This window comes from Homo sapiens, chromosome 1 (assembly GCF_000001405.40).
Source record: "Homo sapiens chromosome 1, GRCh38.p14 Primary Assembly".
Taxonomy (NCBI): Eukaryota; Metazoa; Chordata; class Mammalia; order Primates; family Hominidae; genus Homo; species Homo sapiens.
In genome coordinates, this window is record NC_000001.11 from 31,617,605 (window position 1) to 31,631,943 (window position 14,339).

A 14,339-nucleotide genomic window follows, 5' to 3' on the forward strand; every position below is an offset into this window, starting at 1 on the left:
GTCTGGGGGCTCCCACCCCGCCCTGCCCCTCCCGCCGGCCCTCCCTCCCCGCAGCGCGCAGCCCGGCGGAGCCCGCGCCGAGCCACAGCCCGCGCAGTTGCCGCGGATCGTGCTGAGCCCCGCGAGCCGAGGCAGCGCAGCCTAGGGAGGGGGCTGCCCCGGCCCCCTCCTGCAGTCCCGGCCCCTAGAGGCTCGGCCTTCCTCGCAGGAAGGCGAAGTCCCCGGTGCCAGGTCCGGGGACCAGCAGCCGAGAACGCCCGGGTCCCGGAGCCAACAGGTGCGGGGTGTGGGGGACCCCCAGGCCTGGGATGGGGGTTCCAAAGGACCCGCGGCGAGGGATGGGAGGAGCCAAGAGTCTCGGGGGGTAACCTGGGTGCTGGGAGACTGGCTCCTCGGCCAGCGCTGCTCTCCTCTAGGCAGGCTCCGAGTGCCCTCGCTCCCCCGCGCCTTCCCGGAGCCCCGCCAGCCCCCGAGGTGCAGGAAGGTCCCGCGGACGGAGCGGGCCTGCCGGCGTTCAGTGGGGTATGAAGGCGTCCCCTCCCCTTCCCCAGGGGTCTCCAGGGATCCGCAACCCTCCGGCACCTGGCCGGGGTCGTCCTAGCCCAGCCGGGGGAAGGAGGGGCTGAGTGCGGGAGGAGGGGAGGGGCGGGGAGCTGGGCTGGCTGGATTTATGAATGGAGAGCGACCCGCGCGCCGGAACAGCGGCTCCTGGCGGCCGTCGGGGAGCGTCGCGGCCCTGGGGACCCAAAGGGGCCTCTTAGGGGGCCTGGATGCTCCCCTTGCTCGCAAGGGGTCGTCAGTCCCTCCGCGCACCACCCCCACTGTGTGTGTGTTGTATGTGTGCGTGTCCGCGAGTGCCCACCGGAGGGTCTGGCAGGTATGGCGGGTGGGGCTTGGGTCTCTAACACCTCCCTTGGCCCGTTTTCCCAACCCAAAGTTAAAGCCTCTGAACTGGCTCAAGAAATATTTGCAATCGGGATGGCTTCTCCTCCCAAATCTACGGTGTTTGGTGGGTTCGAACAGACCTGGCTTAAGAGCTTTGTGACCTTGAGCAAGAGACTCAATCTCTCTGAGCTTCGGTCTCATCTGCAAAGCAGGGTACCCTAATAATGGTAACCGGAAACGTCCCCGAAACTACCTTCTCGTACCAGGTTCTTGGTGAAGCACTTGGCACGCATCGGAGCTCATTACTCCTCATCGTGGTCCTGTAAGGTATGTAGGGCTGTCACCCCATTAGACAGATGGGGAAACCAAGGCTGAAAGAGGCCAGGTAAGCTACCCAAGGCAACTGGTGTGGAATTGGGATGCAACCCAGGTCTGTCTTCCTCCACCAATTTCATGACTGTGAGAATTAAGAGGGAACTTATACGCAAAGCGCCTGGCACAATCCCTAATGTTTCCTTCCTTCTCTCTTTTCCCACTCCCTCCTTTCCTTCCTCCCTTCAGGAAGTTTGAGGCTGAGACCCGAAAAGACCTGGGTGCAAGCCTCCAGGCACCCTGAAGGGAGTGGGCTGAGGGCTGGCCCAAGCTCCCTCCTCTCCCTCTGTAGAGCCTAGGATGCCCCTCTGCTGCAGCGGCTCCTGAGCTCATGGAGCCCTCAGCCACCCCAGGGGCCCAGATGGGGGTCCCCCCTGGCAGCAGAGAGCCGTCCCCTGTGCCTCCAGACTATGAAGATGAGTTTCTCCGCTATCTGTGGCGCGATTATCTGTACCCAAAACAGTATGAGTGGGTCCTCATCGCAGCCTATGTGGCTGTGTTCGTCGTGGCCCTGGTGGGCAACACGCTGGGTAGGTCCAGGGCTTGCCCGGCAGTGCTGCCGGCTTTCCCTGGGGATTGAAGGGGGTTGTGTGGGAGGAGGGCTCGCTGATTAGGCAGAACTAGGATGGGTGTGGCTCTGCCACCAGCTTCACCTCGCTGCACCCTGCAGTCTGCCTGGCCGTGTGGCGGAACCACCACATGAGGACAGTCACCAACTACTTCATTGTCAACCTGTCCCTGGCTGACGTTCTGGTGACTGCTATCTGCCTGCCGGCCAGCCTGCTGGTGGACATCACTGAGTCCTGGCTGTTCGGCCATGCCCTCTGCAAGGTCATCCCCTATCTACAGGTGAGCTCTGCCCAGGCACCCCTCACCACTCCTTGTCACGCCTGTAAAAAACCCACGGCCTTGCATAGGTCTCAGTGACCCCCAGACTTGCCTTTCAGACAGGTCAGTGGCTCATGACCCCTGAAGTGTCATCCTCTGCTGCTAGCAAGGGCAAGCCACCAGATCAGACACTCGAGGACACAGACACAACCCCACACACTCACAGAGATCCCCTCCTGGTCACAGCCACAGACATATACATAGACACGTGTGGACATGTATAGTCACCTCCAGGTACACAGGCACACAGTCAAGGAGAGAGGCAACAGCCCACAGTGACACATACACGACACCCTAGGCCTGCTCCCCAATCCCAAAGGGGCAGACGTGAGGGGCCTGATGGAAACAGCCGTCTCCTCTCCCTCCTGCACTGGCCAGGAAAGACCCCAGTGGTGGAAACCAGGATGTCCGGATGGGGTTAGTGGGGTGGAAGGAAGGCTTCTCTCAGTTTGTATCCTGTGATCCACTTCCTGCACCCCAGAGGGCAGGGGGCACCCCTAGAGGCAATGCCCACACACCTCTGACCCAGACTCATCTCTGCCTCCCAGAATGAGGGCTTTTTCCTAACAGCCTGGGGAAGGGATGGCATTCCATGGCAGAGATAAATGCCTCTTGGATTTCCCACTATTTTGAGGCTCCCCACTCAACTGGTTAACTCTGGTGACCCTGAGCATAAAGACAGATGGATGAGGGAATTCTGTGCCTCAGTTTCCTCATCTGTAACAGGGGGGCAAGAGCGCTTTGTGGGATTGTCATGAGGATGATGAGAACAGTGCCCAGCACATAGTAAGTTACGTAGGTGCAAGTTATTATTCACCGGAGGGGTGCACCTACCATGTGCCAGGTCTAAAGCTGGACATTGTTTGTACATGATTTCACTTATTCGCACAAGAATCTTGCCAGGTAGATGGTATATTCCCATTCTGTAGACGAGGCTCAGAGAGGGTGAGTGACTTGCCCACATTTACACAGCCAGTAAGTGGTGGAGTCAGGATTTGCACTGCCCTGCACCTGCCGTCAGCCTCCTCACTCACCTACTCTCACATCGCTGGGTGGCCCCCAAAATGACCGACGTTGTGTCCCCGTGGGGCAGGCTGTGTCCGTGTCAGTGGCAGTGCTAACTCTCAGCTTCATCGCCCTGGACCGCTGGTATGCCATCTGCCACCCACTATTGTTCAAGAGCACAGCCCGGCGGGCCCGTGGCTCCATCCTGGGCATCTGGGCTGTGTCGCTGGCCATCATGGTGCCCCAGGCTGCAGTCATGGAATGCAGCAGTGTGCTGCCTGAGCTAGCCAACCGCACACGGCTCTTCTCAGTCTGTGATGAACGCTGGGCAGGTAATGGTGGAAGCCTCAAGCAGGCATCCCCTCAGGTGGGCACTTTGGGAGCACGTACCCCTAGGACAGGCATCTAGCAGGGTCCCTTCCAAAGTGGGAAATCCCAGAGCAGGTATTTCCCTAGGGGACACCCTAGACTGGCTCCTACCAGGGATACTCCCAGGGTGGGTGCCTCCCCTCATGTAGACATCTGCTCTAGTGTAGATGTCCTTCCAGGAGGGACAACCCAAGTTGGACAACTCCAGGGTCTCTGTCTGTCATGGTGGCTGTATGGGGTCCAGCTGCTCCTAGGCCTTGCTTTGGCCGTAGTCAGGACAGGGTGGCATTGCTAACCAGGGCAGGGTGGGGCTCACGGATTGGGCCTGACTCTGCATCTCTTGACCCCTGCAGATGACCTCTATCCCAAGATCTACCACAGTTGCTTCTTTATTGTCACCTACCTGGCCCCACTGGGCCTCATGGCCATGGCCTATTTCCAGATATTCCGCAAGCTCTGGGGCCGCCAGGTGAGGCCCACTCTGGGCAGGGGCTAGGCCAGTCACTGTGTGGGCTGGGGGTGGGAGGGCTACTGGTCTAACTGAGTAGGCAGTCCTCTGCCATCAGCACATGCCATCTTGGCTGCAACCAAAGAGAGGGGAAGCCCAGAGACACGTCAAACTCAAGGCCAAAAGCACCAGTGGCTACCCTGGAATGGAATAGTAACACGTCCTTCTATTAGTGGTTGGCGTTTATTGAAGTATCCACTCCCAGATAATCTTGCATCCTCTTAGCCACCATATATTACCCACATTAAATATATGAGAAAACCGAGACCCAGAAGATCAACATAACTTCCCCCAAACCACTCAGCTAGTGAGTAGATCAGGAACTAAAGCCCAGATCTGTGAGCTCCCACTGCTCAGTTTAGTACCACTGCAACAATAATAATAGCAACTCCGTGGTGCTTGCCAAATTAGGCACTTTGCATCCAATGTCTTAACAACTATCTAACAAAAGAAGCAACATTACCCACGTCACAAATGCCAAATAAGGGCAACCAACTTGCCAGATTCAACAGCAGCAGAGCCTTCTGGTTCCAGGGCCTGTCTTCTTTCCTGCATTACAGACTGACCCACGGTGGGTTTCTTAGGTTTTTGGGGGGCAGGGGTGGTCAGAGGCCCTTGGCCTAGCGAGTGGGAGTCCTGGATTGGCGTCTGGGCGGTGAGAAAAGGCAGGCCAGAACATGACCAGGCTCAGGAAGGGACTCTCACACTTGGGGATGTCACCTACATTCCACAGGAAGTACTGGCTTGCACCCAGGCCATGCCGGGCAGCGGATGGGGACACGGACTGGCTGTGACCCAGGTCCTGCCTTGGAGGAGCACCCAGTCCAGTAGGACCCTTCCTGACTGGCCAGCCCTGTAGTCCACCAACACTCATCATCTGCTCCCCACAGACCCCCCAGCCAAGCAGGACACAGGCACGATCCTCCTCATTTGACAGATATGAAAGCAAGGCTTAGAAAGGAAAATGAGGTGGCTAAGGTCACATAGCTCACGAATGGCTGAGCTGGCTCTAGACCCGCGTTTCCAGAACTCCAGCCCCATGCCCCTCTGTGGTGGGTGATTTGAGTGTCCGGTGGCAGGAGAGGCTTCTCCAGGAGCCCAGAACCACCCCAGGCTTATGGGCACTGGCCCAGGCCATTCGATGCTGCCCACCTGCTCACCCCTTGCCCAGGCCTCCTCATAGTCTGGTATGATCCAGGGGAGGCACAACTCACCCCCACCCCTACCCTCAAAGATAGTGTTGGAGATTTAGGGAGGATGGATGGGCAGTTGACAGGATGTGGCCTGGGGTCTTGTCAAGGTTCCCCACCTCTTTGAGTCTTAGTTGCCTCATCTATACCTAAGGACCAATAATATCTTTCCACAAGGCGTGTTGTAGAGGGTTTCACAAAGAGCTAATGGAAAATGAAAGTCTAGGCTGGGCGCAGTGGCTCACACCTGTATTCCCAGCACTTTGGGAGGCTGAGGCAGGCGGATCACCTAAGGTCAGGAGTTCAAGACCAGCCTGGCCAACGTGGTGAAACCCCATCTCTACTAAAAATACAAAACTTAGCCCGGTGTGGTGGCGCACACCTGTAATCCCAGCTACTCGGGAGGCGAGATTGAAGAGAGCCAAGATTGCACCATTGCACTCCAGCTTAGGTGACAAGAGTGAAATGCCATCTCAAAAAAAAAAAAAAAAGAAAAGAAAAGAAAATGAAAGTCTATCGTTCACTCTCAAGTCCAGAGTGTTAGTCTATCATAAACATTAGATTCCTTCCTCTTGCAAGGGTTTTATCCTTTTGCCCATCTCCACCCTGCCCGGGGTCCAGCCTGGAGTAGGCCCCACAAAAGGCAACCACCCTCCCAAGGTGCTGTACCCACCACTGCTGTCTCTATGTGTGCTGGACAGATCCCCGGCACCACCTCAGCACTGGTGCGGAACTGGAAGCGCCCCTCAGACCAGCTGGGGGACCTGGAGCAGGGCCTGAGTGGAGAGCCCCAGCCCCGGGCCCGCGCCTTCCTGGCTGAAGTGAAGCAGATGCGTGCACGGAGGAAGACAGCCAAGATGCTGATGGTGGTGCTGCTGGTCTTCGCCCTCTGCTACCTGCCCATCAGCGTCCTCAATGTCCTTAAGAGGTGAGAGCACGGGGTATGGTTGGGGTGGGGAGAAGTTTGAGGTTGGGGAAGGAGCTCTCCTTGCTTGGGAGAAAGACCTGGCTCCACCCCTTCTCCACTATGTGATCTTGGGCAGGCCATTTCTCTTCTCTGAGCCTCCATCTCCTAGGGCTATCGTGAAAATTCACGCATTCATTCACTTAATCATCACATTTTAGGGGGCTGGAAATACAATGAACAAGTGCATAAGACAGACAAAGTCCCTGCCTTCATGGAGGCTGCATTCTAGCAGGAGAGAAGGGAAGTAAATAGAAGAATCAATGTATATTATAATGTCAGGCAGTGATAACTGCTGGGAAGAAAAATAAAATAGGACAGAGAGTGACAATGATAAGGGTTGGTGGGTTTTTGCTTTTGCTTTAGATACAATGGTTTAAAAAAAGCAGGGGGCCGGGTGCAGTGGCTCACATCTGTAATCCCAACACGTTGGGAGGCCAAGGAGGGAGGATCGCTTGAGGCCAGGAGTTCAAGATCAGCCCGGGCAACATAATGAGACTTCGTCTCTACTAAAATTCAAAAAATTAGCCAGCCATGGTGGCATGTGCCTGTAGTTCTAGCTACACAGACTGAGGTGGAAGAATAGCTTGAGCCCAGGAGGTTGAGGCTGCAGCGAACCATGATTGCACCACTGCACTCCAGCCTGGGTGACACAGCTGTCTCAAAAAAAAAAAAAAAAAAAAAAAGCCTTTCCAAGGAAATGACATTTGAGCAGAGACTTGAAGGAAGTGAGAGAGCTAACCATGCACGTGTCTGTAGGGACAGCCAAAGAGGGTCGCAGGGCGCTGGGGAGAGAATGCAGGCTATTGGACAGAAGACAGTTTCACTTTGAGATTGTGCTTGGCCACTTCCTGGTTGTGTGATCTTCGGCATGTCACTTTACTTCTCTGAGCCTCAGTTTCCTTAATGGAAAAATGGATGATGTCTATGATTCATCATGTTGCTGTGAGGATGGATGAGAAAGTGGATGGGAAGCCCCAGGGGATCCGATGGCCAGGAGGCTAGAGATGCCCATCACGGTGCTTGATACCCTCCATGCTTGAGAACCCCAAACCCTGGCCAAGACCTCAGGTACAGAAGGCCAGGAAACGTGGACAGAAGTGGGCAGTAGGAACTCTTGCACTTTACAGCTCAGGTTCTGTGAGCAGCACTCCCCCAGTACATGCATACGCAGCTACCCCATTTCTGACGCTCCTCCACCCTGGGCCTAGGGTGTTCGGGATGTTCCGCCAAGCCAGTGACCGCGAAGCTGTCTACGCCTGCTTCACCTTCTCCCACTGGCTGGTGTACGCCAACAGCGCTGCCAACCCCATCATCTACAACTTCCTCAGTGGTGAGCAGGCTGGGGATGCAAAATGACTGAGGGTGGCCAACAGTCCACATGACAAGTCTCCCCATCCCCAAGCCAGGGCCCAAATAAAGGATGGTGGGTGAGGATGTACCTGCTGTGGGCACAGTGATCCTGCTCTGGGAGGACCCACCCCAAGCGGCCCTGGCCTGAGTGGGAGACGGGCCACACTCCCTACAGTGGCTGGCACCCAGGATCCAGTTTTGCAGATTCTGCAGACCAGTGAGTGAGTGGAAGGGCAGGGGCTAGGCCAGCTCACCCCCAACTCCCACCCTGGGTGCAGGCACAGCAAGACCTCCAATCAGCTCAGGCAGAGGAGTCCATCCTCCCCGGAGGGAGTCAGACCTGTGGGAGGAGGGCCCTGGAGCCCCTGCCCGAGGAAGGATTGCACAGTCCAGGTGTCAGGGCTAAAGTAGGGTCACTCTGAGAGACAAGCCAGGCCCAGGGAAGGGCTTCGCCGGCTCAGCTAGACACACTGGCAGAGTGACCGGAATCTCAGGGGTTGTCCCCTCTGGAAGTCTTCCTCCCCTGCCACCCCCACTCCCACTCCAGGCCTCTCCTCTCTGCTGTCCCACAGTGCCCACCCCCTCCCTCTACCTCCCAGTCTCAGGGTGGTAATGGCTCTGAGGCTGAGCTCAGCAGAAGTCTGACTCACCAGCCCTCTGACTTTGGGAATAGACTTCTAAAGAACAGGTCCAGATGACTGTTGAAGCCTGGACAGAAATAATCTTTGAGGAACTATTAAAAGGTTAAAGAAAGGATCAGGAGTCAATAGTATAACCCTCATTGAGACTCAAGAATTACTCAACAAGGCTGGCTGCGGGTTTCCAGGTCAGAAAAGAGAATAGATGATGAGCTGTGTGGGGAGGGGAGGGCAGACAGACTTACTGACACATATGCCTTTGTTTGGCCTATGTTTACTGAGCACCTACTATGTGCTTGACCCTGTGCTGGGCACCAGAGAGGCTGGCAGCCTAATGACACATGATCAAAGGGGCTTCAGCCTGACAAAATCTGTTTCCCTGGTATACTTGGGCTGAATAATGTGGTGTGGTGGTCCCTCCTTCCCTCCTCCCCCTTGAGAAGGGCTTTGGAATTAGAATTGGGTTCAGCTTCTGGCTGGGTGGACTTGGGCAAGCCACTGTACCTCTGTGCATCTCATCTGTGAAGTGAGGATAAAGGACTCCAGCCTTTCAGGGTGCTGGGATGCTCTGGCGGACAGAGGCTGAGGCGCCCAGCACAGCGTGACTGCCAAATGCAAAAGGGCTGCTGCTGCCGTCATTTTCATCATCAAAGGGCAGAGAGGACACAAGCCTCGCAACAGATAGTGACCCCCACGTACACACCAAGGAGAGCAGAGGTGACCTGAGGCCCCCGAGCCAGACACCACGTTTTGAGTCAGCCTCCGAGCCAGAGCACAGTCAAGGAATCAGATGGCAATTGCGTCTCTCCTTGGGAACCCGCTCCAGGGCTTCTGTCCTCTCTCTCTGGCGGTGCCGAGGTTGCCTCAGGGCTCTCCCTCCCAGCTCTATCCCTCCCTCCCTCCCCGCCCCCTCATAGGCAGCTTGGCTGGAGCTGCGTGGGTGTCCCTGGGCTCAAGGCCCCTTCCTGCTGCATCTGTCTCCTTATGGCTGTGTCTTTTGTCTCCCAACCAAGGCAAATTCCGGGAGCAGTTTAAGGCTGCCTTCTCCTGCTGCCTGCCTGGCCTGGGTCCCTGCGGCTCTCTGAAGGCCCCTAGTCCCCGCTCCTCTGCCAGCCACAAGTCCTTGTCCTTGCAGAGCCGATGCTCCATCTCCAAAATCTCTGAGCATGTGGTGCTCACCAGCGTCACCACAGTGCTGCCCTGAGCGAGGGCTGCCCTGGAGGCTCCGGCTCGGGGGATCTGCCCCTACCCCTCATGGAAAGACAGCTGGATGTGGTGAAAGGCTGTGGCTTCAGTCCTGGGTTTCTGCCTGTGTGACTCTGGATAAGTCACTTCCTCTGTCTGAGCTTGTGTCCCCTAAGCAGGGTTGATGTGAGGATTAAGCATGCTGAAGCAAGTGGAAAGCTCCTTGTAAACTGTGAAGTGTTGTGGACATGATTATTGTTGTACTTCTCTCATTTGGCCATACCCCACAGTATAATCTGTCCCCATCCTCCTTCCAGAGCTTGGTCATCCTCCTAAAGACCCCTTTCCTACCCAATTACAGGCCTTCCCTGGAGTCTGCTCTAAAGGTCCCAACAGGCATTTCCATCTTGTTCCATGGCTCCCTGAAGCCCAGGGCTGCACTTGGCCAGCTGTTCTGATGCCTGTGTGAACTAATCTGGGCCCAGCCTTTCTCCAGCGGGCCACGAGCACAGCCCCACCCTAACCAGGTGCCAAGGGCACACACCACAGACCCGACCTTGTTGGCTTTGTGGTGTGATAAAACACTCTCCATGGCCACTTGGCAGAGAGGCCAGCAGCCCGAAGCAACTGTAATTAAAAGCCTGGCACTGAATGTTCCCTTTCCTTGTCATTGCACAAAATCTGTGCTGCTTAGGTTAGGAGCAGAAGAAGGTGGGGAAGCTGGGGGGAGGGAAGACAAGAAGGCACTAGAATGCTCTTATCTGCTGACCTCCCACCCCCACCACACGGGATCCCAGATGGACTCAGCCAGGCCTCGGCACACGTGGTGCTGCCTCCTCATGCGGTGCCAATCCTGTGACGCCGGGACCTCACCCCTCGACACAACTGTCTGCTCACAGGCCCAGTGGCCTGGGGAAGGTAAGGGGGGCCGGGTGGGCAGATAGCGGGTTAACAGGCTGATTTACTGTTATCTTCATCTTCTTGGAAACCAAGGCTTGCGCCTATTTTCTATGAACTCACAGGATAAAAAGAGAAAGCCACAGACTTGGCCAGACATGCTCCGTCTGCCACCGAGATTTTAAGGCTGCCAAAGGCCCTGAGCCTTGTTGCCAGAGAAGGACGTGGAGTGCAGCCTGAAGTGCTACTCTGCTGAGAGGAACAGGGACATCTGGCAGGGGCCAGCTCTGCTATGCATACCACCAGGTCTGCTTAACTTGATTAATAGAGCTGTGGGCTCCCTCTGACCTCAACCGTCAAGAACGTGGGCAGAGCCCTGGTGCTGCCAGGGGCCCAGCCCAGGAGTGTTGAAGCACTGCTCCTCCTAAGCACCCCGCTTTACCCAGAGCAGGTGGAATGTGTGGTCTAAGTATGCCACCTGCTCTCCACACGACTTACCAGCCCAGCTCTCTGTGGACGGGGCAGAGCTCTAGCTGCTGCCAGGAGGATGGGCTCTCCTGCCCATTCCACACTCCCACTGGCCTTAGGATCCAAAGCGGTTGGCACAGTGCATAGGTAGGCTTGGAGGTGAGTGTGCAGAATGAGGTATGAGGGCTGGCCCCCAAGCTCAGAACCAACCGTGCTTACAAGATCAATCCAGGTCTTGGGCTCCTCAGCCTCAGCTGAGCACAAAGGTGAGAGACTACAATTGGCACCATCGGGTTTCAGCAGACACTTGGTTCAGTGGGAACAAAGAAACAACAGGCGCTGCTCCTAATGGCTGCACGCTCTGCTGGCTGAACCCAGCACCATGGGGGGCCTCAGCCCTCCACTCTGGGGGACTCAGATAAACTGAAGAAAATTCAGGGGAGGTGACCAGGATGCCAAGGGCAGAGATGCTCAGCGAGGGACTGCTCAAGAGCCCAGGGCTATCTGGCCCAGGGAAGAGAGGACTTGGGGAAAATGTGGTATATAGGGTAGGCTCCACTATATAGAGGGTTGGCATGCATAAAGGGTGATGTATGTCCTGGGTGGCCCACAGAGAAAACCACAGCAAATGGTGGTGTCTTCAAGATGGCAGGATTTAGAATCCACATAAGGAAGATGTTTCTGCCAGTCATGGAGGAAATGGGCTGCCTTGAAAGGCACTGAGTTCTTTGCCTTTGGCGAAGCAGAGGCCAGACTCACATGGGGACTATGAACGGAATTTTAGCTCTGGATGGGGGCTGGCCTCTGGGAACTGGATTCCATCTAATGCGGGGATTCTAGCACTACAGCAGCCCAGAGGAGAATGCAACTGACCTGGCTAAGCCCGACACACTGCTGGGCCTCACTGACCTGCAAAACAGTCATAGTTACTTCCAACTACCCACTGCAGGGAGGAGAGCCCTGCACAGGGCCTCAGAGCTCTTTATCTCAAAAAGCCAAAAGATAATCACCATTACCCAGAATAAAGCCCCCTGGCAAACTAGAATGTCTGGTGTCTTTGGCTTTTGATTGAAATGTGGTCAGCTCATTAGAGACACTCGGTGTAGACTGGGTATTATGCTGATCTAAAGATCTGACTTGCAAGTACAGATGTCTGTGCTTAATAAAAGTGGGGAGAACGTTATGACTTAATAAATGGAGTTTGTCTGGAAGATAAAACTAGGGCCTGAGAAAATAGAAAAGGCCAGGCTATGAAGTTTGAGGTAGCTGCTTTCAACCCAGAATGCCAGCCCTAAAACTGCTATGAAATAGCTTCCTAAATAGACCTTCAGGCCATACTGAACTGAACCCGGCAGGCCCCTCAGCTGGCTACCCTATACTTCAACTTCCCTCTGGCAGTGGAGAGGAGCCCCACATAGGCAATGTCCCCCCAAGCTGCTGCTTTCTGCATGGCGTGGTGTATAGGATGTACTTAAATAGTCACTGAAAGGATGAGTGGATGGACCTGTAGCTGAGAAATCATGGTGGAAAACATGGAACTCCAGAGTTTCATCCTTTTATTGAAGCTTACAATTTCACTGGACTTTTGGCCCCAAATGAAAAAAAATGCAAATTAAAAAAAGTATTGGCAGGGAGAGGTGACCACTGTCTCCTGGAGACTGAAGCCGAGCAGAGCATGGCAGGCAAGTGAGGGGTCCCAGCTGCAGAGGGCAGAAGCCTGGCCAAAGATGCCCAGGGAGCAGATTTGTCTGAGCAGGGCCAGCCCCAGGCAGCTAGAAGTTAACACACAAGGATTTATGGGTGTGGCAGAATCCAAGCCACTGGTCCCATAGACAGATCTCTCTCATGCTTGGTCAGATTCCACTTTGGAGAAAATGGGCTCGTTTGACAGGATGGCCTGGTGAGGGAACACAGGTACTAACGGTAACAGGCCGATGAACACTCACCACTGGCATCAGGGTGGAGCTCAGCTGACTGGACACTAACTCCATTACAAGGACCTGCTCCTGGTGCCAGGCTGTGCCACTCAACTGCTCATGGCCATCAGGACATTCAACTTCTATCCTCTCCTCCATCAGGCCCCTATCTGTGTGGCCTCAGCCCCGGTCCTCACTATTTGGTGGCTATGATGCAGGACTCTCCACCCTCTTTTGGAACAGTGTTGCATCAAGCAAGGGAGAATGTTCTTCTAGAGGGACAGGAAAAGAAGAGATGTCCACATACTTCTCTCACTCTAAGAAGCCAGGAAAGGTCCCTGGTGCACTCCACTCTCCACAGATGGTTGGGTCATAGCATCCGAGAAGCTGTCATGGTGACGAAGTCCTCGAAGCTGAGCCGAATGTTGCCTTGTACAGCTGTGTCCTTCTCCCGGAAGGCCTCTGTCAGCACCTGCAGCTGGGTGCACACCTGGATGAAGCGGTCAAGCTGCATGGCAGGATTGGCAGAGCGTGGGCAGTAGCGGGAGACCAGAAGCTGGGTGAACTGGGGGCTCAGGTTGTAGCCCATTTGGGACAGAGCTGGAGAAGAGGGGCACACAGACCAGACACACAAAAACCTGCCATGAGCACCTCCATCAATCAGGAATACTGGATCACAACAGTTCAAGGAACTTCGAGAGGATGGGCACAGAAGCACAAAGAGGGTAGAGAAATCCCAAGGGTCTGTCTAAGATGTCAGAAACACAACAGGGACCGTGTCTGGATGCTCCCCTTAGGTGGAAGGCCCTCATCCCTCTTTCTCCAAATCTCCATTATTGTCTCTTCAACTGAGGCTCAGGGGATTGCAGAGACGACAACGGACTATCCGCAATCATCTCTGATTCGTTTGCATTCCAAAAGGAAGCCTGAGCTCCCAGGACCACCTTGCCTGGGGCAGACATCAGAGGCAGTACAGCAGAGGTATGAGGACCTGCTCTGGAGTCAGCCACTGGGCAAGTTGCTTAGCCTCACTATCCCTATCTTATCATCTCTAAAATGGGGATAATACTTAACTTGTAGGTTCTAGTAAGGATTAAAACGGGTGATCATGTAAAGCACTTAGCACAGTGACTGGCACAGAAAAAGCACTTGGTAAATGCTATTTTAATAAAGTCACTGTCACTCCAAGGTCTCTTGGAGCATCCTGTCTCTTCACTGGGATGCTTCCTTCCTTCCTCTGTTCAGAACTTACCAGGCCAGGCTAAAACCTCAGCTCTCCATTTGTTATGCGGGCCCTTGGGCAGGTTACCTACACTAAACCTCAGTTTTCTCACCGGTAAAAGGGAGATTATAAGGGATTCTTCATTGAAGGGTGTGGAATTATAAATAGTACCTAGCACATGGGAAGAATGAATTACATAAGCCTATTAAAAATAGCAAGCATTCAGTAAATACGTTTTGTTGTGGTTAATATCACCCTTACTAATATCCACGACAAAAGCTGGCAAGAGTAGGTGATTACTATAGGTCATCTCCCCTCCCTTTTACTGGGGGCAGATGTGGTGCACTCACTCCTGCCCACAGACCTCCTTAGTCTGAATGAAATCCACAGCCTGGGCAAAGGACTAGACTCTCTGGGGAGCCCTTTCTCCCTCCTGGGTGGCAAAGCTCCCTCTTGGGTCCTCCCCCAACCTCTTACTA

At 54.9% G+C, this 14,339-nt stretch overlaps 2 protein-coding genes across 10 annotated transcripts in view, besides 4 other annotated features; one reads left to right on the top strand and one right to left on the bottom strand.

Annotated features, from left to right (window-relative positions):
* Positions 1-690: an enhancer, noted in NCBI's record as "H3K4me1 hESC enhancer chr1:32083206-32083895 (GRCh37/hg19 assembly coordinates)". NCBI's record gives its function as "activates a minimal SCP1, AML or CMV promoter by ChIP-STARR-seq in primed H9 embryonic stem cells {active_cell/tissue: H9 hESC(primed)}" and the evidence as "EXISTENCE:reporter gene assay evidence [ECO:0000049][PMID:30033119]".
* Positions 85-14,339, top strand: part of HCRTR1 (hypocretin receptor 1) — a 16,804-nt gene continuing 2,549 nt past the window's right edge. The window contains exons 1-11 of one of the 3 annotated variants that reach the window (XM_024446605.2): positions 85-277; positions 421-522; positions 1,152-1,212; positions 1,447-1,787; positions 1,928-2,106; positions 3,239-3,482; positions 3,873-3,988; positions 5,919-6,145; positions 7,393-7,514; positions 9,186-10,275; positions 10,380-12,304. In XM_024446605.2, the coding sequence (XP_024302373.1) occupies positions 1,589-1,787; positions 1,928-2,106; positions 3,239-3,482; positions 3,873-3,988; positions 5,919-6,145; positions 7,393-7,514; positions 9,186-9,376 (1,278 nt within the window). In that variant the 5' untranslated portion in view covers positions 85-277; positions 421-522; positions 1,152-1,212; positions 1,447-1,588 and the 3' untranslated portion in view covers positions 9,377-10,275; positions 10,380-12,304. Of the gene's footprint in view, positions 278-420; positions 523-864; positions 1,788-1,927; positions 2,107-3,238; positions 3,483-3,872; positions 3,989-5,918; positions 6,146-7,392; positions 7,515-9,185; positions 10,276-10,379; positions 12,305-14,339 lie in introns of those variants that run through there. The other 2 variants (NM_001525.3, XM_017001107.2) reach the window with 2 other exon arrangements.
* Positions 6,925-7,074: an enhancer, noted in NCBI's record as "active region_646". NCBI's record gives its function as "activates an Ori minimal core promoter by ATAC-STARR-seq in GM12878 lymphoblastoid cells {active_cell/tissue: GM12878}" and the evidence as "EXISTENCE:reporter gene assay evidence [ECO:0000049][PMID:35858748]".
* Positions 7,259-7,759: an enhancer, noted in NCBI's record as "H3K4me1 hESC enhancer chr1:32090464-32090964 (GRCh37/hg19 assembly coordinates)". NCBI's record gives its function as "activates a minimal SCP1, AML or CMV promoter by ChIP-STARR-seq in naive H9 embryonic stem cells {active_cell/tissue: H9 hESC(naive)}" and the evidence as "EXISTENCE:reporter gene assay evidence [ECO:0000049][PMID:30033119]".
* Positions 7,760-8,260: an enhancer, noted in NCBI's record as "H3K4me1 hESC enhancer chr1:32090965-32091465 (GRCh37/hg19 assembly coordinates)". NCBI's record gives its function as "activates a minimal SCP1, AML or CMV promoter by ChIP-STARR-seq in naive H9 embryonic stem cells {active_cell/tissue: H9 hESC(naive)}" and the evidence as "EXISTENCE:reporter gene assay evidence [ECO:0000049][PMID:30033119]".
* The window catches only part of PEF1 (penta-EF-hand domain containing 1), a 15,011-nt gene continuing 12,933 nt past the window's right edge, over positions 12,262-14,339 (bottom strand). For all 7 annotated transcript variants that reach the window (NR_033686.2, NM_012392.4, XM_011541745.2 and 4 more), the window contains one exon: positions 12,262-13,238. Coding sequence is in view for 6 of the 7 variants with exons in the window: in NM_012392.4 (NP_036524.1) it covers positions 13,009-13,238 (230 nt within the window). In the remaining variant the exon portion in view is untranslated. The remainder of the gene's footprint in view (positions 13,239-14,339) is intronic.